Consider the following 27657-nt stretch of genomic DNA (forward strand, 5'->3'; position numbering starts at 1 on the left):
TGCCCAGAAGGTGCTCACTGTCTAGTACGGGAAAGAGATACGAAAATCTGAAAATTCACTCCCCATTATCTCTTGGTCCTTCCTATCCAAGTATACTCTATTTATCAGCCAACCGAAAGGTATTTTCTTAGTTCCTAAATATGATCATCCTCGCTGGGAGCAGTGGCTCACGCCTGTAATCCCAGCACTTTGAGAGACCAAGGCGGGTGGATCGCAAGGTCAGGAGATCGAGACCATCCTGGCTAACATGGTGAAACCCCGTCTCTACTAAAAATACAAAAAAATTAGCTGGGCATGGTGGCGGGCGCCTGTAGTCCCAGCTACTCGGGAGGCTGAGGCAGGAGAATGGCGTGAACCCGGGAGGCGGAGCTTGCAGTGAGCCGAGATCGCACCACTGCACTCCAGTTTGGGTGACAGAGCGAGACTCCGTCTCAAAAAAAAATAATAAAAAAAAAGATCATCCTGTGCTAGAAGCCACATGGAAAATGGGAGACAATGACATGGTCCTTGCCTTTGAGGGGCTTATAGCAGGGTAGGGAGTAAAATTAAACATATGTGAAGCACTAACAGAAGAAAATAATTAAATGCTAAATATAACTAAATGCTAATTACAATTAAGTGCTTCCTGACCCTGCAACATCCAACATGATTCCACATGTCATACCAGCATCAGTCTTGGAATTGAGCCAATTCACCTGGGCTTTGGCAAGGGCAAATGAAATGGTTAAGAGAGCTCTCAGGAGGGCAGAAAAGCTAAGGGGCTTATGTTCCTCAGTCTTGGATAATTATCATCAAGTATACCCTATCCATGGGCAAGATTATGTAGCCCTTGAGGCCAGGCATGGATGGATGCAGATAGCCCCAACTACTGCACTGCAATAAGGCTTTTCTGTGGCTGACAAGACTAAAGCTCGAGGGACCACACTTGGCTCTGTGGTGGGGCGGCAACAGCCAGACACTCAACTGGGGTTTCTTTAAAAAAAAGGCCTCTGAGCTATTAAATCACAAGGAATGAGGCTGAGATCACCGCTCCCCCATCCTCACTGCTGCCTATAGACTTGCAGTCCTTTTGATGAGGCCCAACACTTCGAAATTTTATCTGCAACTGTAGGCAGATCTTGCCCCCTTTGAAAGACTCACAGCTGTGCTACTAAAAATGTCCTGAGGTTTAACCAACCTCTTCATCTCAGAGGCAAAACATACAACCCTGAGGTCCTCCCAGGAGAGCCTGTCTAAAACTAGTTCCACTGTTCAAGAAAATGAGTGTCAAGGCTAAATATTCTTTTCTGTGTTCCCCAGGCACAGAAATACGAGGAACCCAATATTCACCACTAGGAACTCCTGAAGGACCTTGTCTGCTCTTCAGTTCTAAGCCTGTAAAGAGGTACTTTCCTAGAGACAGAACATCAGGGTGAGAGAGGCTTCAGGAGAGCCCCAGCCATTCCCTCTTCTCTGGGTAAGGAATGACTGAAGCCAGGAGCACAGCTAAGTCTTCTACATTGGGACTATAGCTTTAAGCAGACTTTGGCTGGGAACCCAAGGGCTCCCAGCCAGAGTACCATCCTCCCCACCCTCCCCCTGAAATCTGAGGCAGGCCCCACCCAGTACACTGGGTGATGCTGATGGAAAAACAGATCCTTGCGATTGTAGCCTGGAACCATTTCACAGAAGGATCTGCTGAGATCCACCCCAGCTGGATCAGGCACCCCCCGTCCCCCCCACAACCCTCACTCAATAAACAAAGAAACAAAAGGCCAGGCCCTCTGAGGGCACCTTTGGAGTTCCCATCTACCTGATTCTCTGAGAAAGAAATTCCCCCAGAATCTAAAACAGAGGCCTCACCGAGCTGGTAAGGCACCCTCTCTTTTCCCTGGTCTCAAGAAGTAACCAAGGACACAGAAGCAGTTGCGTTATAAACTTAAGGCCCTGCATCCTTTTTACATTTCCCAAACTGACACAATGCAGCTCCCCCACATCAGGACAAATTCCCACATTTACAGTAACCCCTGTTTCCAGAAAATAAATATCAAGATAAGGAAAGTGACACTAAAGAGACACGCAGCCACTCTGCCTGTACCCTCTCTGGACCTTAAAGAGTTAAAGCCTAGCCATGATTTCCTACCAGGGCTGAGGCTAATGTAAACCACCTGCTCAGACACAAGAAGCAGGACCAGAGGGTCAAGTTGCTGAGCTCTGAAGTCTGTTCTGAAAAAGCTTCAGTTTTAAGTACAGAACAAGTGATAGGCCAAAGGCCAGAGGGTCTGAGCTGCAGCAGCACTGCTCTCCTTACCCCGCCCTTGGCCTGGGTGCCAGCTCCTTTGAGACTGCCTCTTAGCCACTTACTGCCCATCAAGGGAACACCAGACCTACCTCAAGATAACACCAAAGTGACCTTTGGTCCCAGAGAGTTGTTAAACTATACCGATCTCTCAGCTCATGGGCCCTTGCTTCTGCTGAACCCTCATTCTCTTAGTGCTAACTCCCACTCCCAGAATTTCAGGGCCCAAAGCCCACACAAGCTCCCACCTCAAAGGGTCCTTCCCAGAACCCCACCCCCTTCTCCACCTGATAGTTCCAAAGGCCTACAGCCTCACAGCTCACAAAGGAAATGGCTGCCCCATCTGTGCGCCAGTGCTCACTTGCAAAATTTACCACCACTTACCCTGAGACGCTGCCTGCCTGTAGCCTAAGAATTCCATGCTCTGTACCCCTTTCTTAGAAAGATACTCCCCATCTGAGAGACACTCACATCCAAAGAGTGAAAACCCTGATCTTGGGGCTCCTCCTCCTCCAACTCTAGGACGGATAGGCCAGGAGGCACATGCAAGCAAACACCGAGATCTCACCTGGCAGGTTACCCAGAGGGGCCAAGCCACCTTGCCCTAGGCTAATAAGCTATAAAAACAGCATAGGAAATACTTTGCTGGTACATCCCCTGCCTCTGAGAAGATAAAAGGCAAGAGGACCAGTGGCTCCAAGAGACGCCATACAGAGAAAAACAATCTTTCTCAATTCCTGGGGAGTCCTGGGTAGACCGTCTGGTCCAAGTCCAAAGAGTTTCCTGAGGTCGGGGCAAACCAGTTTGGTCCATCTAAAGGGACTAGCTTGGGCTGAAGCCTCCTCTTCACACAGACCACTCCATCTTTGTAGCCTAGAGTTTGGCACAGAACCCCAAAGCCCTGGAGAGGAACAAGGGAGGGATTACAGAGGAAACCAAGCTTCTCTGGTTTCTTCAAAAGTGGCTTACAGATGTCTGCCCCTTCTCCCCGTTCTCTGGAGGGTCCAGATCAGGATGATGGCAAAAGAGCTGCAATCAGGAACCAGACCTGCAACCAGGCCTGCAGCCATGTATTGTACTGGGGCGCGTACACATACACACACACACACACACACACACACACACACACACACACACACACACACACACACACACACACACTGACCTGGGCCCCCCACCACTATATTCACACACCCTGGTCCCTATCAGCTGACAAAATGAACCTTTTTTCACTGCCCACCACCGTGCACACACCCACGGCCTCACGCAGAAATGGTGAAGCCCTCTCCTGAGCTGTCTCTACAGCTCAACGTGCAGGCAAACACGCTTTCCTTCTCTGAACAAAAACATGCTGACATCTACGCAAGGGGGAAAGAAAGCAACCCTTTGCTCTGAAAGGCGCCAACTCCCGGATGTTGGCAAGCTCTGCTCCACAGCGCCTGTTTCTGAGTATGTTTACTTGCTCTCCCTCTTCTCTCCCTCCCCTTTAAGGATGGCGCAGGAAAGGGAGGTGAGGGGGGAGAATCCACCCCACCCCCTCGTCCATGTTTGAACAAAAACCCAGAGAAAGAGTGAGGGAGAAAAAGTCTCGGTGCGGGGGGGCCTTACCAGACTCCTAAAGCCAAACGTATCTACAGGTTTTAATCCGCCATTAGCATTTAAATCTTGAAAGGAGAGGAGGAAGGGGGGGCCAGTGGAAAGTAACCCCACACACAAAAGAAAAGTTGTTGGTTTTCTTCTCAGTCTGCCTGGCAGGAGCGATCTTCCTGGCTGACAGCCAGAAGTGCGTCACAGCCAGGAGTCTGCTTTCTTTAAAGGCACAGCAAGCTTCCCCGATCTGGGAGCGACAGCAAGCAGGGGACTCTCAGTGGGGGTGGGGCCCAGAGGGAGGGGGTGCACTGGAGAGGAGGGGCTGCAAAGGGGAAGGCTGGAGGCTTGGTCCACGAACAAGAAAAGCAGGACGAATGGGGGCGGCGGGTTGAGGGTGAAGGCACAAGCAGGCAGGCAAAATTACTGAACTCCAACAGCAGCAAGAGCCAAGGCAAACTGTGGCATAAACACACAAAACACATCTTACAGTGGCCTGCCTGACAAACTGGGATCAACCGGACACTCCCCCTTCGCTCTGTTTTCCACCCAGAGTTTAAGGCAGCAGTAATAATCTGTCCATCTCTCTGGACAGCAATGGAAGGGTAGGACAAGGGCTGTCCTGATAATTAGATCAGCCCCTGCCTGGCGGACCGCAGGGCAAGGAGGAAGACCCGGGAACAGAGGCTTTGAAGAACAAGCAACATGCAGGCCCTCTGATCGGGGGCACCTTCCTGCCGGCCCCAGGGCAGGCTGTGTCTTTAAGTACAACCATGCCACTCACACACAAAGCGCCCTGCCACCTTCCATGGGCACCGCCTGCCCTGCTCTGGGACACGGCCACCCACTAAATCCATTCCCCGAGGGAATCTCTCCAGCCCATACCTTCTGCGTGGCAAGGCCAGGATGCCGTGCTGTGCCCGCTCCTCCCCCTCCGCCACCCAAACAAGAAGCCCAGGCAGATTCTGGCCCTGGAGTACAGGCCTGCGCTGTCCTGTGCTGCGTGCTATTGTCGGCTGTGGAATGGCCGCCAAAATCCCAGCTGTGCTGCCAGAACCTAATCCCCTGTTCCGCTGAGCATTTATGGGGAGGGGCTGAGGGGCCAAGGCACGAGACCGAGTACGCCAGGCACTGGCTGCAGCCCTTAACAGACGCAGGCACGGGGACTTGTAGACTCTGCTTCTCCTACATGGCTGAAAACAAAAGATGTCTGACTCTTAGAAGACAAAATCACAGCATTTCCCCCCACTGAATAGCGAACTTCACCAAGGCTGAAAGGGAAGCCCACCAGATGGTCAACAGGCACCCCCTAATCTTATGCCACAAACATTTACTGAGCACCTACTATGTGTAAGGCACTCCTATAGGAAACTGTAGGAAGTATACAAAGATGAATTAAGCCCAGCATCCGCACTGAGGTAGGTTGTAATTCACAGGAGATAAGAAATATGACTTGAAGATTAATTTCAAACTGGTGTGCTAACTTCCATAAAAGCTGTAAAGAAAAATTCTAACCAGTTTAGAATAGGGAAGGATTACGAAAATGAAGTGCCATTTTAATTTGGACCTTGAAACACACAGGTAGCATTTCCCCAGATGGAAACAGAGAGGTGTGGGGAGGAAGAGAAAGCAGAGAGGAGGCATGGAAGCAGTGGGAGAAAGGGCTTGAAGAGTGAGGTGGGGTCAGAGAGCTAGGAGAATCTTGAACCTCAAACCAAGGAATCAAAGACTTGTAAGTTTGTTTGTTATTAACACAGAGCTGTGGTATGACAAAAACTGTGCCCCAAGTTTATTCTGATATATACCTGAATGAGACTAGCAGCAATGAGGTGAGTCAGGAAGCTGCACAGTCAGGAGACAGGTAATGAGGGCACACAAGAGGGTAAGGTAAGAAAGAATGGAAAGGGGCCTTGGCACGACGGCTCACACCTGTAATCCCAGCACTTTGGGTGGACCACTGAAGTCCGAGAGTTGGAGACCAGCCGGGGCAACATAGGGAGATCCCATCTCTACAAAAAATTTCATGAATAAAAAATTAGCCGGGTGTGGTGGCCCGCACCTACAGTTCCAGCTACTTGGGAGGCTGAGGTGGGAGGATCACTTGAACCCAGGTGGAAGCTGCAGTGAGAGACATTGTGGAGACAGGGTAAAGAACTGATAGGAGGCAGAGAGAGGAACTGTACAGGGGAGGAAAGTATGAGGGATGATATGCAGAATTAAACTGAGGAGATGACAGGATGTCAGAACAAGAGAGAAAACAGAGTATAATAAATAGTAGCTGGTGGGGCACGGTGGCTCACGCCTGTAATCCCAGCACTTTGAGAGGCCAGCCTGGGCAACATGGCGAAACCCTGTTTCTACCAAAAAATACAAAAAACCACACAAAAAAACAAAAACAAAAAATTAGCCAGGCGGAGTTCTTTTTTTTTTTTTTTTTTTTTTTAAAGCAGGGTCTCACTCTGTCACCCAGGCTGGAGGGCAGTGGCGAGATCATAGTTCACTGTAACCTCAAACTTCTGGGATCAAGTGATCCATCTGCCTCAGCCTCCCAAGCAGTGGGAGTACAGGTGTGTGCCACCATGCCTGGCTAATTTTTTTTTTTTTTTTTTTCTGTAGAGACAGGCTCTCACTATGTTGCCTAGGCACAGCATTATTTTAAATTCTTCTCTAAAAATTCTATGCTTCTCCCAAAGCCCTGGGATACAGGCATGAACCACCACACCTGGCCCACAGTTGTCTTTGTCTTTTTCTACTAGGAGCTATACTATAGAGGTCACAATCATTGGCTACAGTTTATAATATATAGGCTAAAATGTTTTACATATAAGATAACCAGTAAAACTTCATGATTTAGAAACAAATTAGTGTCTTTTTTAGTGTCAGAGTCCCAGCTACTCAGGAGGCTAGGGTGGGAGAATTCCTTGAACTCGGAATGAGCAGAGATCATGCCACTGCACTCCAGCCTGGGTGCCAGAGCAAGACTCTGTCTCAATAAATACATAAATAAATGGACAGATAGATAAACAGAGAGACAGAAAGACATATAGTAGCTAATGCTTACTGAGTGCATACTATGTACGCGACACTATTCTACTGACCTAATATGTACGAACTCATTAATCTTAAAAACTCCCTTAATGAAGTAGGTACCATTATCACCCAACTTTAGAGAGGAGGATATTGAGCCACAAGATTAAATAATTTGCCAAGATCACATAGCAAGTAAATGGCAGAAGTCTCTACCACATGCTGCTAACTATTTGACATTGGCAAGAAACTTCTGAACTTTAGTATCCCTATTTGTAAAACAAGAATAAAGACACCTGTTATAAAGCAATGAAAATTAATTCAATAACACCTATAAGGTGTCCAACACACTGGCTAGCATGTAAGGCATAGGATGGGTGTTTCCTGCAGACTAATTCCTACTTGGCATTTTGGTCCCTTGTCACCAAGGTGTCCAAGCAGAAGTTGGCTCACCAATTGTTTGGGAAGCCAGAGAGGGTATTCTGCCTGGAGCAGGAGACTGGATCCTCTGTCTGTCTGCCTTCTTCCCATCAGTCTGCCTCTCTAGATTTTACTTTAGGGTCCAGCTCAAATATTTAATATATTTGATTTAATATTCCTAACTCCTCAAATATTTAACAGTTAACAGGGGTTACTTTGGGGGGGGGGAGGAGTTAGATTGTAGGGAACATTCACTTGGGGACTTTCTATGCTGTATGTTTGCTTTTTTTTTTTTTTTTTTGAGATGGAGTCTTGCCCTGTCACCCAGGCTGGAGTACAATGGCATGATCTCAGCTCAATGCAACCTCTGTCTCCTGGGTTCAAATGATTCTCCTGCCACAGCCTACCAAGTAGCTGAGATTACAGGCACCTGCCACCATGCCCAGCTGATTTTTTTATTTTTAGTAGAGACAGGGTTTGACCATGTTGGCCAGGCTTGTCTCGAACTCCTGACCTCGTGATCCGCCTGCCTCAGGCTCCCAAGTGCTGGATTACAGGTGTGAGCCACTGTGCCTGGCCTTGCATTTATTTTTAATAATCTTGTATTACACTGGTGATAAGAAAAATGTAACTACCTCCTACTCTTGGCACTTATGTGTATATGCATGAAAATCTTGTCTTCACATCTAGAATGGAAATTCCTCAAGGGCATAACCAGTTCCACCTCTCTCTCTCTGTGATCCCCCATAACACCTAGCACACTAGGGCTCCTTAAATCTGCTTCTCCAAACTACATCTGGATGTCAGGTTTACAAATTCAACTTTCTGGCCACCAGAGAATGACTGTGGTGGGTGGTTGGGATGAGGTGGGGGTGGGGGTCAGACCAAGGCTCATTGCTGTAGGCTCCCCATCACCTGCTGCTTCTTCCAGGCCCTGTAAGCTATTCCCACTGTATCATTTGTAGTCTGTAGTTAGCAATCACTATTAGTAGAAATGGAAGTTCTTATCCAAAGGAGCACCATGAAAGCAAAGGCAAAGCAGATACCAAAACTTTTACAGAAAAGCAAAGTGGCAAACATAATTGTTTGGGTTTTTGTTGTTTTTGTTTTCTTGAGACAGTCTCACTCTGTCACCCAGGCTTGAGTGCAAGTGGCACAATCATGGCTCACTGCAGCCTCAGCCTCCTGGGCTCAAACAATCCTCCCACCTCAGCCTCCGGAGTAGTTGGGACCACAGGTGCATGCCACCACGCCTGACTAATTTTTGTATTTTTTTGTAGAGACAGAATTTCACCATGTTGCCCAGGCTGGTCTCGAACTCCTGGGCTCAAGCGATCTGCCTGCTTCAGCCTCCCAAAGTGCTAGGATTACAGGCATGAGCCATCACAGGCCTGGCCAAACTTAATTTAAAGACTGGCATTATCAATGCTCCAGAAAATGTATAAGGTGAAAATAGGAGGGAGGCCTGCTAAAACTGCCCTGGCCACATATGGCAATGCATCAGCCCTGAAGCTTCCTAGCCCAGATAGAATTGATATTGTCTCAAAAGCGTACAAGAGGTCTCCCCAGCCTGGCCCCTTGCTCTAAACTCAAGGCAACAGCTTCCAGCTGTGCAGCTTCCGAGAGGCTGAACCTTCCCCTAGAACCCCTCTGCAAAGCTGCCAAGTTTCTGGGCCAGCTCTTCAGGACAGCCCAAGGAGCCTGGCCAGTTTCGCCAGGCTTTCCCTCCTCTTCCTCCCTCCTGTGGCAGCAGCAGAATTTCCACAGCCCCTCTCACAGCCTAGACAGGCAGCAGGCGGCCACATGGCTCCTGCCTGATTCTTACTGTCCTCAGAAGAGCGGGAAAGGAGTGGTAAAACCTTTCTAGAAAAAGAGAAGGGCCGGGCACGGTGGCTCACGCCTGTAATCCCAGCACTTTGGGAGGCCGAGGCAGGCGGATCACCTGAGGTCAGGAGTTCGAGACCAGCCTGACCAACATGGAGAAACCCCATCTCTACTAAAAATACAAAATTAGCTGGGTGTGGTGGCGCATGCCTGTAATCCCAGCTATTCGGGAGGCTGAGGCAGGAGAATTGCTTGAATCCTGGAGGCGGAGGTTGTGGTGAGCCGAGATCGTGCCATTGCACTACACCCTGGGTAACAAGGGTGAAACTCCATCTCAAAAAAAGAAGAAAAAGAGAAGAAAGAAAGGGGTGGAGAGCGGGGAGAGGGAGAGAGAGAGAGAGAGAAAGGAACAAAGGAAGGAAAAGAGAGAAGAAAGGAAGGAAAGAAATTACTTTAAATTCAGTAGGGAGGGCTGGGCACAGTGGCTCATGCCTTAATCCCAGAACTTTGGGAGGTCGAGGTGGGCAGATTGTTTGAGCTCAAGAGTTCAAGACCAACCTATCCAACGTGACAAAATCCCATGTCTACTAAAAATACAAAAATTAGCTGAGTGTGGTGGCAGGAGCCTGTAATCTCAGCTACTTGGGAGGCTGAGGCAAGAGAATCACTTGAATCCGGGAGGCGGAGGTTGCAGTGAGCTGAGATTGCGCCATTGCACTCCAGTCTGGGTGACAGAGTGGGACTCCATTGCAAAAAAAGAGAAAAAAAAAGAATTTTAAATTAAAATAAATAAATAAATTTCAGTAGAGTTCAGATAGAGGTTGAAGCGGGGTGGTGACTGGTTAGGAGCACAAAGGTTATTTCAAAGGGTCAGGTGATCCTCCTGCCTCAGCCTCCTGAGTAGCTGGGACTACATGCACATGCCATCGCATCAGGATTTACATTATCATTTTTGAAAGTTTAAACAAAAAAAGACTGGAGCTGGGTGTGGTGGCTCATGCCCGTAATCCCAGAACTTTGGGAGGCCAAGGTGGGAGGATAATTTGAGCTCAGGAGTTCAAATTCCTCAGGAGTTCAAGACCAGCCTGGGTAACATAGCGAGATCCCCATCTCTACAAAAAATAAAAGAATTAGCCAGACATGGTGGTGTGTGCCTGTAGTCCTAGCTACTCAGGAGGCTGAGGTGGGAGGATTGCTTGAGTCCAGGAGTTTGAGGTTATAGTGAGCTATGATCATGCCACTGCACTCTAGCCTGGGCAACAGAGCAAGACACGTCTCAAAAAAAAACAAAAACAAAAACAAATAAGTACTAGGAGAGTTCAAGTCCCCAGTCATCCCCATGGGATGATTCTCACACAAATAATTAGCCTGGCACTCAAGGCCCTCCATGACCTGCAGCTTCTAGAGTTCTAGCTTCTAGAGTCGTTATTCCCTTACCCAAACCCTCCACTCTGCCAGGCAGGTCTATAAAGTTACAGTTTGTCCTGAGAATTAGACAAGATGACCGCAGGGGACAGGCTCTGGATTAGCTACGAATTACAACAGTAACAGCAACGATAATGATAGTCTTTACTATGCCAGGATGTAAGTGACAGAGAAAAGACTAGAAGGCATTGTATTGGGCAGTTTTGTTTATTTTACTTTATTTTTTTAATAAAATTAAAAAATATATGGAACTCTTCACAAATTTGCATGTCATCCTCGCACAGGGGCCATGCTAATCTCTGTATCGTTCCTATTTTATTTTGTTCCAATTTTAGTATACATGCTGCCGAACCAAGCACTGGGCAGTTTTAAAAATGAAGAAATCTGAGGCTCAGGAATTAGGTGACCTACGTGATCTAGTCATGTAAGTAGTAAGTTGTCTACCTTGTCCCTATATTATTCTTTTTTGTTTTTTTCTTTCAAGATGGAGTCTCGCTCTGTCGCCCAGGTTGGGGTGCAGTGCTGCGATCTCCGCTCACCGCAACCTCTGCCTCCCGGGTTCATGTGATTCTTGTACCTCAGCCTCCCGAGTAGCTGGGATAATAGGCATGAGCCACTGCACCCAGCCAGCCTATATTATTGTCTACAGCTGTTAAATAGGCAATCATTGAGTGAATGAATAAAAGCTAGCACATTCTCAGCAAATCAAAGAAGCCGTGTGCTTTTCCTCATGAAAATCAACTTTTTTTTATTTTTTGAGACAGAGTTTGCTTTGTCGCCCAGGCTGGAGTACAATGGCACGACCTCAGCTCACTGCAACCTCCACCTGCCAGGTTCAAGCGATTCTCCTGCCTCAGCCTCCCGAGTAGCTGGGATTACAGGCGCTCGCCAACATGCCGGTCTAATTTTTTTTATTTTTAGTAGAGATGGCGTTTCACCATGTTGGCCAGGCTGGGCTTGAACTCCTTACCTCAGGTGATCCACCTGCCTGGGCCTCCCAAAGTGCTGGGATTACAGGAGTGAGCCACCGTGCCAGGCCGAAAATCAGCTTCTTAATCAAAATAATCAAACAGCTCCAATTTCAAAATTAATCACTAAAGAATTTTTTTCTGAGGATCCGAGAGCTTTACAAACACTGAAGGGCCAAAACTCCTCTAAAAACAGCAAGCACCAAGAAAAGTCTTGTACTAGGAGGGATGTTGGCAGTGTCTCAAGGGTTAGAGGGGGAGGCTGGAAGGAAATGCTGGTGCTAAAGGGAAGGACTGCTGTTTCAGGAGCCTGACCTTGAGCTTATTTACCATGGCCTCATTGTCCCTCTCCAGAGGATAATGGCTGATTAATGAGGCAGTGTTGGTAAGTCTGAGGCTTCCTGGAGAGAAAAGCAGAGGGCAAATCAAAACCCAGAGAGGATTCATTATAACATCCAACAGGCCCACTCAGTTCTCTCTCAAGAAGGCCTTTCTACAAAACAGCTAAGAACCTCTCCACCCTGTTTCACTGTCACAGAGGAGTAAAATGGCTCTGTCCCTACAGGCAACATATCAACATATCTAGCACAATGTTTGCTCACAAACACAGAACTAATTATAAGAAATGTGAAAGAACCTGAAACGCAGGGGGAATACTCTTACTGGAGACAGCCTCCATAGTGGTAGAAAACATAGTAGATCTGGTGTTGAAAGCCCCTGGAGGGGTGATGGGTCACTTACTAGCTATGTGGCTTAATGCAAGTCACAGAGGCAAATTACTGAGAACCAAGCTAGGGTCGGATCAGCTCTAAAGTACCTTTTCAGGGCCAGGCACAGTTGCTCATGCTTGTAATCCCGGCACTTTTGGAGGCCAAGATGGGAGGATCACTTGAGCCAAGGAATTTGAGACCAGCGTGGGCAACATAGTGAGAACCTGTCTAAAAAAAAAAATAATAATAATATATATATATATATATATATAGTGTGTGTGTGTGTATATATATATATATATTTGCCTATTCATCTATCTATAGATAGATAAATAAATAGATATATATCAAAAAAAGAAAATTGGCTAGGCATGGCGGTTATGTGTCTGTAGTCCTGGCAACTTGGGAGGCTGAGGTGGGAGGATCACTTGAGCCCAGGAGTTTGGGGTTACAGTGAGCTATGATCATGCCACTGCACTCTAGCCTGGGCAACAGAGTGAGACCCTGTCTCTAAAAAAATAAAATAAAGTACCTTTCCACTTCCAAAAATTCCCATGATTCTTTCCACAGGATACCATTCTCAACAACAAATCTTGTAGTAGAACTTGTCTCCTCAGAATCTGGTCAAAACATCACTAGTTAGGGTGTTCTTTCAAAAAAAATAGCAAATCTCCTAGAAACAGGCACATTGTGTGTTACCCTATTAGGACCCATCCCCAAAGCGAGGCACATGTGGGTGCTTCATTAATACTCTGTTGAAAGGAGGAGGTCCTTGGAAACTGGTAGTACCAACTTAGCATGGCATACAATGAAAGGTGATTGGAGCCACACTCGAGGAACTACAAGGCAGCTTTTCATAAATAAAAGCCACAAAATGCAATTTATAACTACATCTGTCTAAACAGACTAAAGAAAAGTAGCTTTCTATACCTAGGTCTTCACCCCTTCTCCTCCCCACCTCTCTACTTTATCATCCCTGTCCTACACAGCACTGAGACCCGTCTTTCTGGTTCCAGGTCCACTTTTCCTTTTTCCACACCAGAATGCCTTTAATCACTGATAGAAATGAACAAACATGAATATGAGTTCTAAACAGGAAGACAGATAGCCTCAAGAACCAACTTGTCAATATGTTACTAATAAGTGAAATAAGTGGGAATGGTGTCTAACATGGGCATGATAAAATAAAACCCTAAAATACATACTGTGCTAGGGATTTGAACAAACTTCAGGATTTTTAAGGAAGGCTGTGTCTCACATCTCAATTAATCTTCCCAAAAGAACCCTAAGAGGCAAGGTTTATTCCAATTTTATAAATTAGGAACGTAAGGCTCAGTAAAAAGAAAATACCTGCCTCAAGGTCGACTGGTAAGGCTGCAGAGCCAGAACTCAAAGAGATGTCTTCTAAATCCAGTGCTCTCTCCAGCACATCTCAGCTACATCCTCTATCTTTCTCATCAGTATAGGTCTTCATGTATACAAAGCATTTCTGCATTCATTGTTCACACTGCTTCTGCCACAGCTCATGAAAAGGACAATGCAGATGTCTAAATGGCACCAGATCTATACCCACCTTTTTTTTTTTTTTTTTTTTGAGACAGGGTCTTGCTCTGTCACCCAGGCTGGAGTGCAGTGGCATAATCATAGCTCGCTGCAACCTCAAACTTCTGGGCTCAAGTGATCCTCCCGCCTCAGCCTTACAAGTAGCTGCTGCTACAACAGGCACGCGCCACCACGCCTGGCTATTTTTAATTTTTAGTAGCGATGAAGTCTCGCTATGTTGCCTAGGCTGGTCTCAAACACCTGGGCTCAAGCGATCTGCCTGCATTGACCTCCCAAAGTGTTGGAATTAAACGGTGTGAGCCACCGTGCTGTCCTATCCACACTTTTAAAGATGCTAATAAATAACGTGATCACCATCAGAGAAAATAAATCCTACGTATCTGGCATCACTGAGAAGTACAAAATTTCACACAAGCAATTTTCCTACTAACTGAAATTTATCCCTTTTAAGGCAAAGCTCTTTCTTTATATCAAAACATATTCTCCAAAATACATAAGATATGTTACTCTTTACTTAGAATTAATGAAATTTAATCAGGGATATTCGACTATAAACATGATATAAACATCCTACATACTGTGCTAGGAATTCAAAGATTTTTTTTTTTTTTTTTGAGACAAGGTCTCACTCTGCTGCCCAGGCTGGAGTGCAGTGGTGCAATCTCAGCTCACTGCAACCTCCACCTCCCAGGCTCAAGTGATCCTCCCTACCTCAGCCTCCCAAGTAGCTGGGGCTACCGGTGTGCAGGACCATGCCCAGCTAGTTTTGTACTTTTTGTAGAGATGGAGTTTTGCCATTTGCCCAAGCTGGTCTCAAACTCTTGAGCTCAAGCGATCAGCCCACCTTGGCCTCCCAAAGTGCTGGGATTACAAGTGTGAGCCACTGTGCCTGGCCCAAGGGTAAATCTTTAAACTTGAGTTTATAATCTTGTAGAGGAAGAGACACATCTGTAACCATAATATGAAGCCAAAGAACATGGGCTTGGGGTGTGCTGAAAGGAAGGTAAGATAACACAAGCAAGGCTAGTGGGGACCAACAACCCAGGGTGACTTACTGAAGAGAAGTGGGAGGCACTGAAAAGTCCTGGGCAGGAGAATGGTATACTACTTGTGCTTTTTGAAAAGATGACTCTAGCACAACAGTGAGGCCAGAGGCAGAAAATGGACTTAGGTGGCAGCGACAGAGGTAGAGAGAAAACTGCACTGCCAGGGCAGGGGCAGTAGGAACTAAAACAGGTGGCTCTGAAAGGCATTACAGACGTAGAGACAATGCTCTTAGCATATAGGGGCGTGGGAAAGGTGGGGAGCTAAAGAGAACACTAAGATTCTTGCTTTCATGGAAAGATTTCAGAACGAGAAAATAAGAGTAGGTACTGGTTTAAAGGAGCGTGAGGGACTAACTCAGGATGGGATGATGGGGAATGCTTTATAGAGGAAGTGACATTTAAGCTAGATATTAAAATATGAGCAGGATAAGTAGAGTTTCACCAAAAAGTAAAAAAGCATTCTAGGCAGAGAAAACAGCACATGCAAAGACAGACCATATTACAGTTGAACAATGGCATGCAGTTTTAGGGAGGTGCATCAGATGATAAGAAGGGTAATAAGTAAGGCCAGGGGCGGTGGCTCACGCCTGTAATCCCAGCACTTTGGGAGGCCAAGGCAGGTGGATCATGAGGTCAGGAGATTGAGACCATCCTGGCCAACATGGTGAAACCCCGTCTCTACTAAAAACACAAAAATTAGCTGGGTGTGGTCACATGCCTGTAATCCCAGCTACTCAGGAGGCTGAGGCAGGAGAATCATTTGAACCCAGGAGGTGGAGGTTGCAGTGAGCCGAGATCATGCCACTGCACTCCAGTCTGGTGTGCTCCAGTCAGAGCAAGACTCCATCTCAAAAAAAAAAACAAGGGTAAGTAATATTAAATTGTGAGGCACTTGCCTCATACTAAGAAATTGTAGGTGATGAGAAGACAATCAAGGTTTCTAAAGGAAGAGGGTAAAGGGGAGCAGCATGATCAGGGCTATGTTTCAGAAGGGAAACTGTATAAAGTACAGACTGGAATGGTAAGACACAGGAGGAAGGCAATAGAGCATAATGGCTAAGATTACAAGGTCTGAACTTAAGACAACCTAATACAAATTCTGGGTTTATAGCTTAATAGCTCTGCAACCTTGGGCAAGTTATTTACTCTCTCTGTGCCCTCATTTTCCCCAGCTGTAAAATGGGAATAATAATAGTACTTTATCAGGCACAAGCCACCACACCTGGCTATTTTATTTTTAATTTTTGTAGAGACAGGATCTTGCTATGTTGTCCAAGCTGGTCTCGAACTCCTCAACTAAAGTGAAGCTCCCACCTTGTCCTCCCAGAGCACTGGGATAACAGGTATGAGCCACTGTGCCCAGCCCATAGTTCCTAATTACGCCTTTTTGTATTTTATTAATTTATCTTTCTCTTACTGCCTTAAGTTCCATGAAATCACAAACTGTGTGCTCACCGCTGAATTCTTAGAAATCAGCACAATGGCTGGCACAGCATGAGTGCTTGATAAATACTTCTTGAATGAATGAAAGGTTCCAAACTATATATTTTAAATGAACTCTATTTAAATGTAACCTTTATATAGAACCCCAGGACACACAGAAGAAGACAGTTTGAAGTAAGGGATATTTGGAGACTTGTTCCCTCTGCTTCCCCCTGGTTCTTAAGTCAGTTCTATAGTTCTGTAAAGCTTTACAGAATGCAGTGCAAAAACCATTGTCTGTTACAAGCAAGAAGTAATGTATGTCTGAAGTAAGGCAATGACAATAAAGATGCAACAATAGCTTTGAGAACTATTTATGACAGGCCCTGACAACCAATTACAGTAGGCCCTCTGTATCCATGGGTTCCACATGTGTGGATTCAACCAACCTGAGATGAAAAACATTTTAGGGAAAAAAAAGCATCTGTACTGAAGATGTATAAACTTTTTTTTCTTGTCATTATTCTAAACAATACAATGTAACAACTATTTACATAGTATTTACATTGCATTATATAAGTAATCCAAGGATGATTTAAACTATACGAAGGACGTGTGAAGGTTATATGCTAATATTATACCATTTTATATAGAGACTTGAGCATCCAAGGATTTTGGTATCTGTGTGAAGTCCTGGAACCAATCCCCACAGATGCTGAGGGACAACTGTATAAATGAAGAATGAGAAAAGGAAAATTCTTGAAGCACCTCTAAATTTCCTAGCTTGAGTGAACAAATAAATGAACATGTGTGCCAAAAAGCAAGATAAGAATGTAAGAGTGGCTGGGCACGGTGGCTCACGTTTGTAATCCCAGCACTTTGGCAGGTCAAGGCAGGTGGATCGCTTGAGGCCAGGAGTTCGAGACCAGCCTGGCCAACATGGTGAAACCCTGTCTCCACTAAAAATACAAAAAAATTAGCCGGGCACGGTGGCAGGCACCTGTAATCCCAGCTACGAGGGAGGCTGAGGCAGGAGAATTGCTCAAACCCAGGAGGTGGAGGTTGCAGTTAGCCAAGATCACACAATTGCAATCCACCCTGGGAAACAAGAGCAAAACTCCATCTCAAAAAAAAAAAAAATGTAAGAGTAACAATAACAATTTCCATTCATTTGAACATAGTATCACCCCTATCAAGCAAATACTATTAATACCCTCAAGTTATAGAATAAATCTTTCACGATGTTAAGCAACTGTCATGATCTTCATTAGCAAAGATCATGAGGCTAATAAGTAGCAGAATTAAGTTTCAAATCCAAGACTGTCCCACTCCAAGCCCAAAATCTAAACCGTCTTGCTATATTGGCAAGCAGTTTGAGAGTTAGGTCTTAGACGTGAGATATCTACTGGATATACAGTTAGAAATAATCAGTAACTAATGAAAAATATGATTTGGGGTTAGAGATAAGGATCTGGGCTCCATTTGGAAGACTGAATAAATTCAGAAGAGTGTCTATGAGAAGATCATGCTTGCTTGTAAGGCCTGTAAATGGGTGATGTACGCATTTGCGATTGAAGTTTGTTGATTTACCAAGGTCTCTGCCTTGCATAGATCTAGTGGGCATCAGCATTAAGAGAGGAAGTAAAAAACTTTAGGAGAAATTCCAGATCTCTGGGGATTCCTGTTAGGACCTTTATATTATTTTTGTTTTGGGAGAATTTAACAGAAAGACAGTGACACCAATGTCAACAAAAAAAAATGAGACAGCAAAGGTGATAAAGAGAATAGATTTGGGGATCATCATTTTCTCTTCTGCTTGAGATTCCACAGCTCTCAACAAAAATGACTATTATTTGTGTATGGCTCTTTACAACTAACAAAGTGTTTCCCATTTACAAGGTATTTCCTGTTTACCAATAATGTCAGATGAACCTTACAACAGCTGTTTAAGGTGAGGGCATTATTATTTTCACTTTACCAAAGAGGAATGAAGTCCAGAAAAGTTAAGTTTACCTTGTCTAAGGTCATACAGCTAAAAAGCAACCGGGCCACGATGTAACCACGGTTTTCTGGCTCCTAATCTGGGGCTCTTTCCAGAAGACTCACCTGAGATAACATGAGCCACTCACTTATGAACCAAGAGTCATCATCCCTATGTATAGTTTCACTGTGTTTAAAAATAAAACAATAGGGGGATAGTGACTGGGAAGGGGCTAATGGTATGCTGGTAATGTTCTGTTTCTTGATGTAGGTGCTAGTAACACAGGTGTGTTCACCTTGTGGAAAGTCCTTGAGCTGTAAACTTTGTGTACTTTTCTGTATATATGTCATACTGTAATTATTAAATACCAGGCAAGCCAGGTCAGGAGGCTTGCACTTGTAATCCCAATGGCTCAGGAGGCTGAGATGGGAGGATCACTTGAGCCCAGGAATTCAAGACCAGCCTGGGTGACAAAGCAAGACCCCCATCTCTCAAAAAAAAAAAAAATTCAGCTGGGCGCGGAAGCTTACACCTGTAATCTTAGCACTTTGAGAGGCCGAGGCAGACAGATTACCTGAGGCCAGGAGTTCGAGATCAGCCTGACCAACATGGTAAAACCACATCTCTACTAAAAATACACATACACACACACACACACACACACACACACACACAATTAGCCAGGTGTGGTGGTGCACGCCTATAATCCCAGCTACTCAGAAGGCTGAGGCACAAGAATTGCTTGAACCTGGAAGGTGGAGGCTGCAGTGAGCTGAGATCATACCAGTTCACTCCAGCCTGGGTGACAGAGTGAGACTCTGTCTCAAGAGAAACAACAACAAATAAAAAAAAATTAGCCAGGTATGGTGGCATGCCTGAAGTCTCAGCTACTCAGGAGGCTAAGGCAGGAGGATCACTTGAGCTCAGGAGTTTGAGGCTTCAGTGAGCTACGATTGTGCCACTGTACCCCAGCCTGAGTGACGCAGCAAGATCCCATCTCTCTTTTTTTTTTTTTGAGTTGGAGTTTTACTCTTGTTGCCCAGGCTAGAGTGCAGTGGTGTGATCTTGGCTCATTGCAACCTCCGCCTTCCAGTTTCAAGCGATTCTCCTGCCTCAACCTGCCAAGTAGCTGGGATTCCAGGTGTCTACCACCACCCCCAGCTAATTTTTGTATTTTTAGTAGGGACAGGGTTTTACTATGTTGGCCAGGCTGGTCTTGAACTCCTCACCTTGTGATCCGCCTGCCTCAGCCTCCCAAAGTGCTGGGATTACTGGCATGAGCCATCGCGCCTGACCAAGATCCCATCTCTTTAAAAAAAAAAAAAAAAAAAAAAAAAGGCAAGCCAAACTGATAATCAAAACTCAGGAACACTAAGTTGGATGCGTCACATTTTTTACTCAATTTCTCAAACAGTAGCTACATATAGGACATCTACCAGTTATATAAGGATGTACAAAATTCTTGCACACTCAAATAACATATCCACCCAATTGTCCCAATCCAGACTGTCTTAGTGATGTGAAAGAATCTGACAGGACTGGAAGTAACAGAAGCCCAGGAAAGGGCGGAGATTTTTGTTAATGAAAACAAAAATGGCATTGAAAATGGAACTATCCTACATCATCATCAATGATGAGATATCTCAATTTCAGAGATAACAAAAATGTGAAAAAAAAATGGCCAGTGACAATTGGAAGATACTATCAATTGTAAAATACACCCCAATTTCAGTGTTAAAATATTAAAAAAGCAAAAAAAAAAAAAAGAAAGAAAGCATTTTAAAACAAAGGAAATATATTCTAATCTCAAAAGGTAGCTCAATTGTGGGATAACAGATTTGTGAAGCACATCTCCTTGTACAAGCTCTTTGTTTTAGAGATAAGGACACTAAAGCCTTCATTTAAGTTATTAAATAACCTTACTAAATTAAAGCTCACACATCAGAAAGTTGATAACTACAATTACAAAGCTGGTTCCTTCAATGCTCGTTCTCCTGCCACTACCCAGATGCCTCCTTTAAATCCAAAAGAAGATTTACATATTAATTCCATATTAAAACTCTATTTTGACTTTCATATTTCTTTACTTCATTAACTCACTAAAAAATAATAAAAGTTAACCTTTAAAAATCAATTAAAGCTGGGCGAGGTGGCTCATGCCTATAATCCCAGCACTTTGGAAGGCTGAGGCAGGTGGATCACTTGAGGTCAGGAGTTCCAGACCAGCCTGGCCAACATGGTGAAACCCCATCTCTACTAAAAATACAAAAATCAGTTGGGCATGGTGGCAGGCGCCTGTATTCCCAGCTACTTGGGAGGCTGAGGCATGAGAATTGCTTGAACCCGGGAGGTGGAGGTTGCAGTGAGCCAAGATTGCACCACTGTACTCCAGCCTAAGAAACAGAGCGAGACACCGTCTCAAAAAAAAACAAAAAAAAACAAAAAACAAAAAAACAAAAAACTAAGCTGGGTGCGGTGGCTCACGCCTGTAATCCCAGCACTTTGGGAGGCTGAGGCAGGTGGATCGCCTGAGGGCAGGAGTTTGAGAACAGCCTGGCCAACATAGTGAAACCCTGTCTCTATTAAAAAAAAAAAAAAATAGCTAGGCGTGGTAGCAGGCGCCTGTAATCCCAGCTACTAGGGAGGCTGAGGCAGAAGAATCACTTGAACCCAGGAGGTGGAGGTTGCAGTGAGCCAAGATTGTGCCACTGCATTACAGCCTGGGCAACAAGAGCAAAACTACATCTCAAAAAAAAACATAATAATAATTAATTAAGATGAAACGATGTTTAGGAAACTTCATTTCTTGCTTATACAAGTTTGTTTTCCTTGTTCTTCAAAACCAGTGAAGCAATACAAAGTTAGATAAAAGACAAAATTAGTAATCTCCCAGCCCCTTTCCATTCCTCTCCAAGGCCTCCTACAAGATGAGAAATGGTAACATATTTTTGTGTCCCCCAAAAACATAAATACAAATATATTGGAAAGGGTTTTGTTGTTCTCTGTTTTTAGAAAACTAGGTTTAAACTTTACACATTGCTCTGCAACTTATCTCATCTAACAATTTATCAACATCTCCCCAAGCATCAATAACTAAAATTCTAACTCATACTTTTAAAAAGCTACATAAAAGTCCATATAAGGGATATCCATAACGTGTTCACATATTTTTCTATTGAGGGAATGGCTATTTTCAGTGTTACCATTTCAAACAATGCTGTAATGAGTATCCTTGACGTATTTCAAGTTAAAGAAAAAAAACTATTTCTACACACATACTTTCCTTGTTGTCCCATGTTTTGATTACTCCTGGTCTCATCATCATCCCTACCTCCCTTGCTCAGAGAATCATCCTCAGGGTCCAGTGTGATGACAGAGAGCAAAGTAACTTGGAGAATGTCAAGACAAGACATGTGATAGTTACTGTTGGTAAATTGGAAATGGCCTGTCTTGGCTGCCTCTCTCAGTCACTTGCACATGCTATCCCCCTCCTCCCCTTACATGTGCTCCCTGTTCTGGTCTCAGCAGCTGCTTCCAACTCAACTGATGTGAGCACAGCTAGCTACCTTGTCACACTCCTAATCCTGGCAAGTGCAGACAGGCCCAGGAGCTCTCCAAACAATTGGAAAGGAGAAGGAATACATTATCACTGTGAAATAATATAATACGGAGGTATCTAGAGTAAAATGTAAAACTCCCTCTTCATTAAGCCTCAACCCACATTTGCCAGTGACACTCCCCAGCTCAGAAGTGACCACTGTTAGAAGTCTGTTGTACAACCTTTTGGATTTTTCCTAAGCATGTACACATACAGGTATATATTCACATACAGGTATGTGTGTTTGGTCTACATATCTGTAATCATACCATATAATATGTTCTGCAACTTGCCCTTTTCATGTAAAAATTTATTTGACATGTTTCCATACCAGCAAAAAACAGATTCCTCACATTTTTAATTAATTTTTTTTGAGACAAAGTCTCACTCTGTCACCCAGGCTGGAGTGCAGTGGCACCATCATGGCTCACTGCAACCTCAACCACCTGGGCTCAGGTGATCCTCCCACCTCAGCCTCCTGGTAGCTGGGACTAAAGGTGCGCACCACCATACCCAGCTAATTTATTTGTAGAGATGGGATTTCACCATGTTGCCCAAACTGTTCTCAAACTCCTAGGCTCAAACAATCCGCCCACCTTGTCCTCCCAAAGTGCTGGGATTACAGGTGTGAGCTATCATGGCTGGCAATTCCTTAAACTTTTAAAAGCTTGAAAAAATCCTATGTAAGAATGTGCCACAACTTTATTTTCCCATTTTGCTACATCTGGACATTTAGGTTGTTCACAGTGTTTTGCATGTCAAAGAATGCTGTATTGATAACACTGGCAGCACATCTCTAATTTTACACACAAGCTAATATTTCTCTAGGATATATACCAATAATTAGAATTAATGGGTTGAAAAGCTTGTGTATTTTAAATGTCAACAGATATTCCCAAATTACCATCTAAAACTGTGTACTAGTTTATAGTCTCACCAACAGAGGATAAAAATTCCCATCTACACCCTTCTACCAATATATTTTATCAATATATAAGATAGAATATATTATTGTTTTAATTTATATCTTATTTCCAGAAAAGTTAAACATCTCCTCACATATGCAACTGTTCATTCTTATTTCTTATGAAAGGTATTACCATTTTGATTTTAAACATGAGGGTTCAGAGATGCTAGAGTGACACAACCAGTAAGTCCAGACATCAAAGCTGTTTTTTTAACAATTTCCCATCAAAACTAGGCCTCTTTCTGTCAAGTGTAATTCCCCCTACCAGCAGCCAGCAAACTATGGCCTATAAGTTAGCAGCCCATATTTTGTAAATCAGGTTTTACTAAAACGTAGCCACGCCCATTCATTTAAGTATTGTCTATGGCTGCTTTTGTTCTCCAATGGCAGAGGTGAGTAGTTACAACCACATGGTCTGCAAAGCCTAAAATATTTACTACTGGGGTCTAAACAGAAACAATAACTTGCCTAAGCACAGTGACTCACACCTGTAATCCCAGTGCTTTGGGAGGCTGAAGGTGGTGGACTGCTTGCTGTTTGAGCCCAGGAGTTCGAGACCAACCTGGGCAACATGGCGAGATTCCATCTCTACAAAAATTAGAAAAATAGCCAGTTGTGGTGGCATGCACCTGTAATCCCAGATACTCAGGAGGCTGAGGTGGGAGGACTGCTTGAGCCTGGGAGGCCAAGGCCGTGGTGAACTGCCATTGTGCCACCACATTCCAGCCTGGAAGACAGAGTGAGACTCCATGTCGAAAAAACAAAACGCACACACACAAAAAAAACAAGAGTTAAAAACTAAAGAAAAGCTCAGGTCTGGGCACAGTGGCTCATGCCTGCAATCCCAGTACTTAGGAAGGCTTAGCGAGACCCCATCTCTACAAAAAATAAAAAAAATTAGGCTAGGCACGGTAGCCCACACCTGTAATCCCAGCATTTTGGGAGGCCGAGGCGGGCGGATCACGAGGTCAGGAGAATCGAGACTGTCCTGGCCAACATGGTGAAACCCCATCTCTACTAAAAATACAAAAATTAGCTGGCCGTGGTGGCGTGTGCCTGTAATCCCAGCTACTCAGGAGGCTGAGGCAGGAGATCACTTGAACCAAGGAGTTGGAGGCTGCAGTGAGCCGAGATCGTGCCACTGCACTCCAGCCTGGCGACAGAGCAAGACTGTCTAAAAAAATTTAAAAAATTAAAAATTAGCCAGGCACAGTGCTGTGTGCCTGTAGTTCCAGCTACTTGGGAGGCTGAGGCAGGAGGACCCCTTGAACCAAGGAGTTCGAGGTTGCAGTGAGCTATGATCACACCACGGCACTCCAAAATCTGGGTGATAGAGCAAGACCCTGTCTCAAAACAAAAAAAGAAAAGCTTCTCAGTGGGGATTAGTTATGGTCTAATTGGCCACAGCCAGAGCATGGCTATGTTACAGTGTGTGGCTCATTTTCAAATAACTTTATATGCAGTATAGGTCTGGTATATAATCCCAAAGGAAAGAGCCCAAAACACTCAAATGAAGTCAAAAGACTTATCTTTACTTATGGGTTGCAACACTAAAAGATTTTCTATGCACTACTCTTCGTCTTCCTTGTTTCTTTTCTTTTTTTTTTTTTTTTTTTTTTTGAGACAGAGCCTCATTCTGTTGCCCAGGCTGGAGTGCAGCGGTACAATCACAGTTTACCACAGCCTCAACCTCCCAGGCTCAAGCGATCCTCCTTCCTCAGACTCCTGAGTAGCTGGGACCACAGGCAGGTACCACCACACCTGGCTAATTTTTGTATTTTTTGTAGAGACAGGGCCTTGTCATGTTGCCTAAGCTCATCTCAAACTCCTGGGCTCAAGTAATCCTGCCTCTGCCTCCCAAAGTGCTGGGATTATAGGCATGAGCCACCATGCCTGGCCCCTTATTTAATTTCATCTGGTTCCTACTGTCCTTCAATGATTTTGACAATGTAGTTCCTACCCACACACCACAATAATACAAAACCAAAGCAAACTCCACTATGTCTGCTGCTAAACACCCCCAACAAACACACATACACATCACACCACACCACACAACACAACACAGGTGTCTCCTTCCCTTTTGCTAGCAGATTCGCTAGGAAGCAGCTGCACATTTCCAGCAAGTCGAACAAACTGCTGAGAGCTAGGGCCCCTGACCATTGTGGGAAAGGAAGGCCAATTCTCCCCTCTAGATTGTACCCTTCTGAAGATCCTGGCCATGAAAGAAGTCATTTCTCCAGAGAATTTTAAGCCATTCAGTTCCTATACGGCAGGCAGGAAAGGTGTCATCCTCCCCATATCATCAGTGGAGGAACTCAGTGTAACTTGTTTCATTTCCTCTTACTTCAAAAGGTCATTTTAAGTAATAGGGTCATTTAGGTAATATCAGTGATCTTTTTAATTTCTCCTCGCATTCTCTCCCAAATTTTGGTTTTACAAAATAATGGTTAAAAAAAAAAAGCTATCATACTCTCCACGAAATTTAACTTAATCTAGAATTTTGAATGAGAAATTAATAATCAAAGAACAGTGCATTTTAGGCCAGGCGCGGTGGCTCACTCCTGTAATCCCAGCACTTTGGGAGGCCAAGGCGAGCAGATCACCTGAGGTCAGGAGTTTGAGACCAGCCTGGCCAACATGGTGAAACCCCATCTCTACTTAAAATACAAAAAAGTAGCTGGGTGTGGTGGTACGCACCTGTAATCCCAGCTACTTGGGAGGCTGAGGCAGGAGAATCGCTTGAACCTGGGAGGTGGAGGTTGCAGTGAGCCGAGATCGTGCCATTGCACTCCAGACTGGGGGACAAGAGTGAGACTTCGTCTCAAAAAACAAACAAAGAACAGTGCATTTTCTTACACAAATAAGCAGGTATTAAGTGGTTCTCTGGATAGGAATTTGGCAATACAAATCAAAATTAATGCCTATAATCCTAGCACTTTGGGAGGCCAAGGTGGGCGGATCACCTGAGGTCAAGAGTTTGAAACCAGCCTGACCAACATGGAGAAACCCGTCTTAAAAAAATACAAAATTAGCTGGGCGTGGTGGCACATGCCTGTCATCCTAGCTACTCGGGAGGCTGAGGCAGGAGAATCACTTGAACCTGGAACAGGTGGAGGTTGCAGTGAGCTGAGATTGTGCCATTGCACTCCAGCCTGGGCAACAAGAGCGAAACTCCATCTCAAAAACAAAACAAAACCTTGATATTTGGGCCAGGTGTGGTGGTGGCACATGCCCAAAATCCCAGCACTTTGGGAGGCTGAGGTGAAAGGATTGCTTGAGCCCAGGAGTTCAAGACCAGCCTGGGCAACATAGTGAGACCTCATCTCTACAAAAAATAAAAAATTAGCCAGGCATGGTGGTGCACACCTGTGGTCCCAGTTACTCGGGAGGCTGATGTGAGAGGATCACTTGAACCCTGAAAGGTTGAGGCTGTGGTGAGCTGTGATCATACCACTGCACTCTAGCCTGGGTGACAGAGTGAGACCCTGTCTCAAAACAAAGAAACAAAGAAACAAAAATGTTCATATTTGGCTGGGTATGGTGGCTCACACCTGCACTTTGAGAGGCCGAGGCAGGATGATCTCTTGAAGTCAGGAGTTCAAGACCAGCAATCTTCTCGCCTCAGCCTCCCAAAGTGCTGGTGCTAGGATGATGGGTGTGAGCCACTGCACCCAGCCTAAGATAGTAAATTTTGTTACATACATCTTACCAAAACTCAAAAAAAAAAAAAAAAAAAAAAAGCTGGCTGGGTACAATGGTTGAAGCCTGTCATCCCAGCACTTTGGGAGGCCAAGGTAGGAGGATTGCTTGAGCCCAGGAGTTCAAGACCAGCCTGGGCAACACAGTGAGACCATGTCTCTACAAAAAATTTAAAAATTAGCCAGGTGTGGTGGCATACACCTATAGTCCCAGCTACTCAGGAGGCTAAGGTGGGAGGATCACTTGAGTCTGAGCCTGGGAGGCTGAAGCCATAATAAGCTGTGATCATACCACTGCACTCTAGCCTGGGCAACAGAGTGAGATCTTGTGTCAAAAAAAAAAAAAAAAGAAACAAAAAGAATTAAAAAAAAAAAAATCTCATGTTCTTTCATCAAATAATTCCAATCACAGAAATAAAAGTTTAGGAAATAATCTGAAATACAAAGATATATGGACATTAATAGAATTATTTATCATTCTGAAAAACTGAAGGAAAACTAAATATCTAACAATAACTTAAATTATGGCAAGAATATACATATGATGAAATCTTATGCAGTCACTTAAAATGTTTTAAATAAGTTTGGCTGGGTACAGTGGCTCACGTCTATAATTCCAGCACTTTGGAAGGCTGAGGTGGGATGATTGCTTAAGCCCAGGAGTTCAAGACCAGCCTGGGCAACATAGTAGACTCCACTTCTACAAAAAATAAAAATAAAAAAAATAGCTGGGCATGATGGCATGCGCCTGTAGTTCAGCTACTTGGGAAGCTAAAGCGGGAAGATCACTTGAGCCCAGGAGGTCAAGGCTGCAGTGAGCTAGGATTGCAACTGTACCACTGCACTCCAGCCTGAGTGACAGAGCAAGGCCCCGTCTCTGGGGAAAAAAAAAAAAGTTTTAAATAATTTTAATGACATGGGGAAATACTCAAGAAATGTTGAATTTTAAAAGCAGGATATAGGCTGGGTGCAGTGGCATATGCCTGTAATCCCAGCCCTTTGGGAGGCCAAGGCAGGTGAATCGCTTGGGCTCAGGAGTTCAAGACCAGCCTGGGCAACATGGTGAAACCCTGCCTCTACAAAAAATACAAAAATTAGCCGGGCATGGTGGCATGCACCTGTAGTCCTAGCTATTTGGGA

General features: G+C 44.7%; 1 protein-coding gene and 1 pseudogene across 52 annotated transcripts in view, besides 5 other annotated features; both read right to left on the bottom strand.

The window, feature by feature from the left end:
- The window catches only part of NUMA1 (nuclear mitotic apparatus protein 1), a 77679-nt gene that overhangs the window by 34209 nt on the left and 15813 nt on the right, over positions 1–27657 (bottom strand). For 8 of the 52 annotated variants that reach the window (XM_047427019.1, XM_047426999.1, XM_047427008.1 and 5 more), the window contains exon 3: positions 12347–12467. The exons of 23 other annotated variants lie outside the window; for them this stretch is intronic. The gene's annotated coding sequence lies outside the window, so the exon portion shown is untranslated. Of the gene's footprint in view, positions 1–2662; positions 2737–3247; positions 3740–3886; positions 4066–4355; positions 4898–12346; positions 12468–25516; positions 25615–27657 lie in introns of those variants that run through there. 21 more of the 52 variants (XM_047427020.1, XM_047427001.1, XM_047427011.1 and 18 more) reach the window with 7 other exon arrangements.
- Positions 3161–3240: an enhancer, noted in NCBI's record as "active region_5176". NCBI's record gives its function as "activates an Ori minimal core promoter by ATAC-STARR-seq in GM12878 lymphoblastoid cells {active_cell/tissue: GM12878}" and the evidence as "EXISTENCE:reporter gene assay evidence [ECO:0000049][PMID:35858748]".
- Positions 3721–4506: an enhancer, noted in NCBI's record as "NANOG-H3K27ac-H3K4me1 hESC enhancer chr11:71751839-71752624 (GRCh37/hg19 assembly coordinates)". NCBI's record gives its function as "activates a minimal SCP1, AML or CMV promoter by ChIP-STARR-seq in primed H9 embryonic stem cells {active_cell/tissue: H9 hESC(primed)}" and the evidence as "EXISTENCE:reporter gene assay evidence [ECO:0000049][PMID:30033119]".
- Positions 4507–5290: an enhancer, noted in NCBI's record as "H3K27ac-H3K4me1 hESC enhancer chr11:71752625-71753408 (GRCh37/hg19 assembly coordinates)". NCBI's record gives its function as "activates a minimal SCP1, AML or CMV promoter by ChIP-STARR-seq in primed H9 embryonic stem cells {active_cell/tissue: H9 hESC(primed)}" and the evidence as "EXISTENCE:reporter gene assay evidence [ECO:0000049][PMID:30033119]".
- Positions 4741–4790: an enhancer, noted in NCBI's record as "active region_5177". NCBI's record gives its function as "activates an Ori minimal core promoter by ATAC-STARR-seq in GM12878 lymphoblastoid cells {active_cell/tissue: GM12878}" and the evidence as "EXISTENCE:reporter gene assay evidence [ECO:0000049][PMID:35858748]".
- Positions 4881–4960: an enhancer, noted in NCBI's record as "active region_5178". NCBI's record gives its function as "activates an Ori minimal core promoter by ATAC-STARR-seq in GM12878 lymphoblastoid cells {active_cell/tissue: GM12878}" and the evidence as "EXISTENCE:reporter gene assay evidence [ECO:0000049][PMID:35858748]".
- On the bottom strand, positions 10801–10897 carry LOC124902815 (uncharacterized; annotated as a pseudogene).

The sequence above is a fragment of the Homo sapiens genome, chromosome 11 (assembly GCF_000001405.40).
Source record: "Homo sapiens chromosome 11, GRCh38.p14 Primary Assembly".
Classification (NCBI taxonomy): domain Eukaryota; kingdom Metazoa; phylum Chordata; class Mammalia; order Primates; family Hominidae; genus Homo; species Homo sapiens.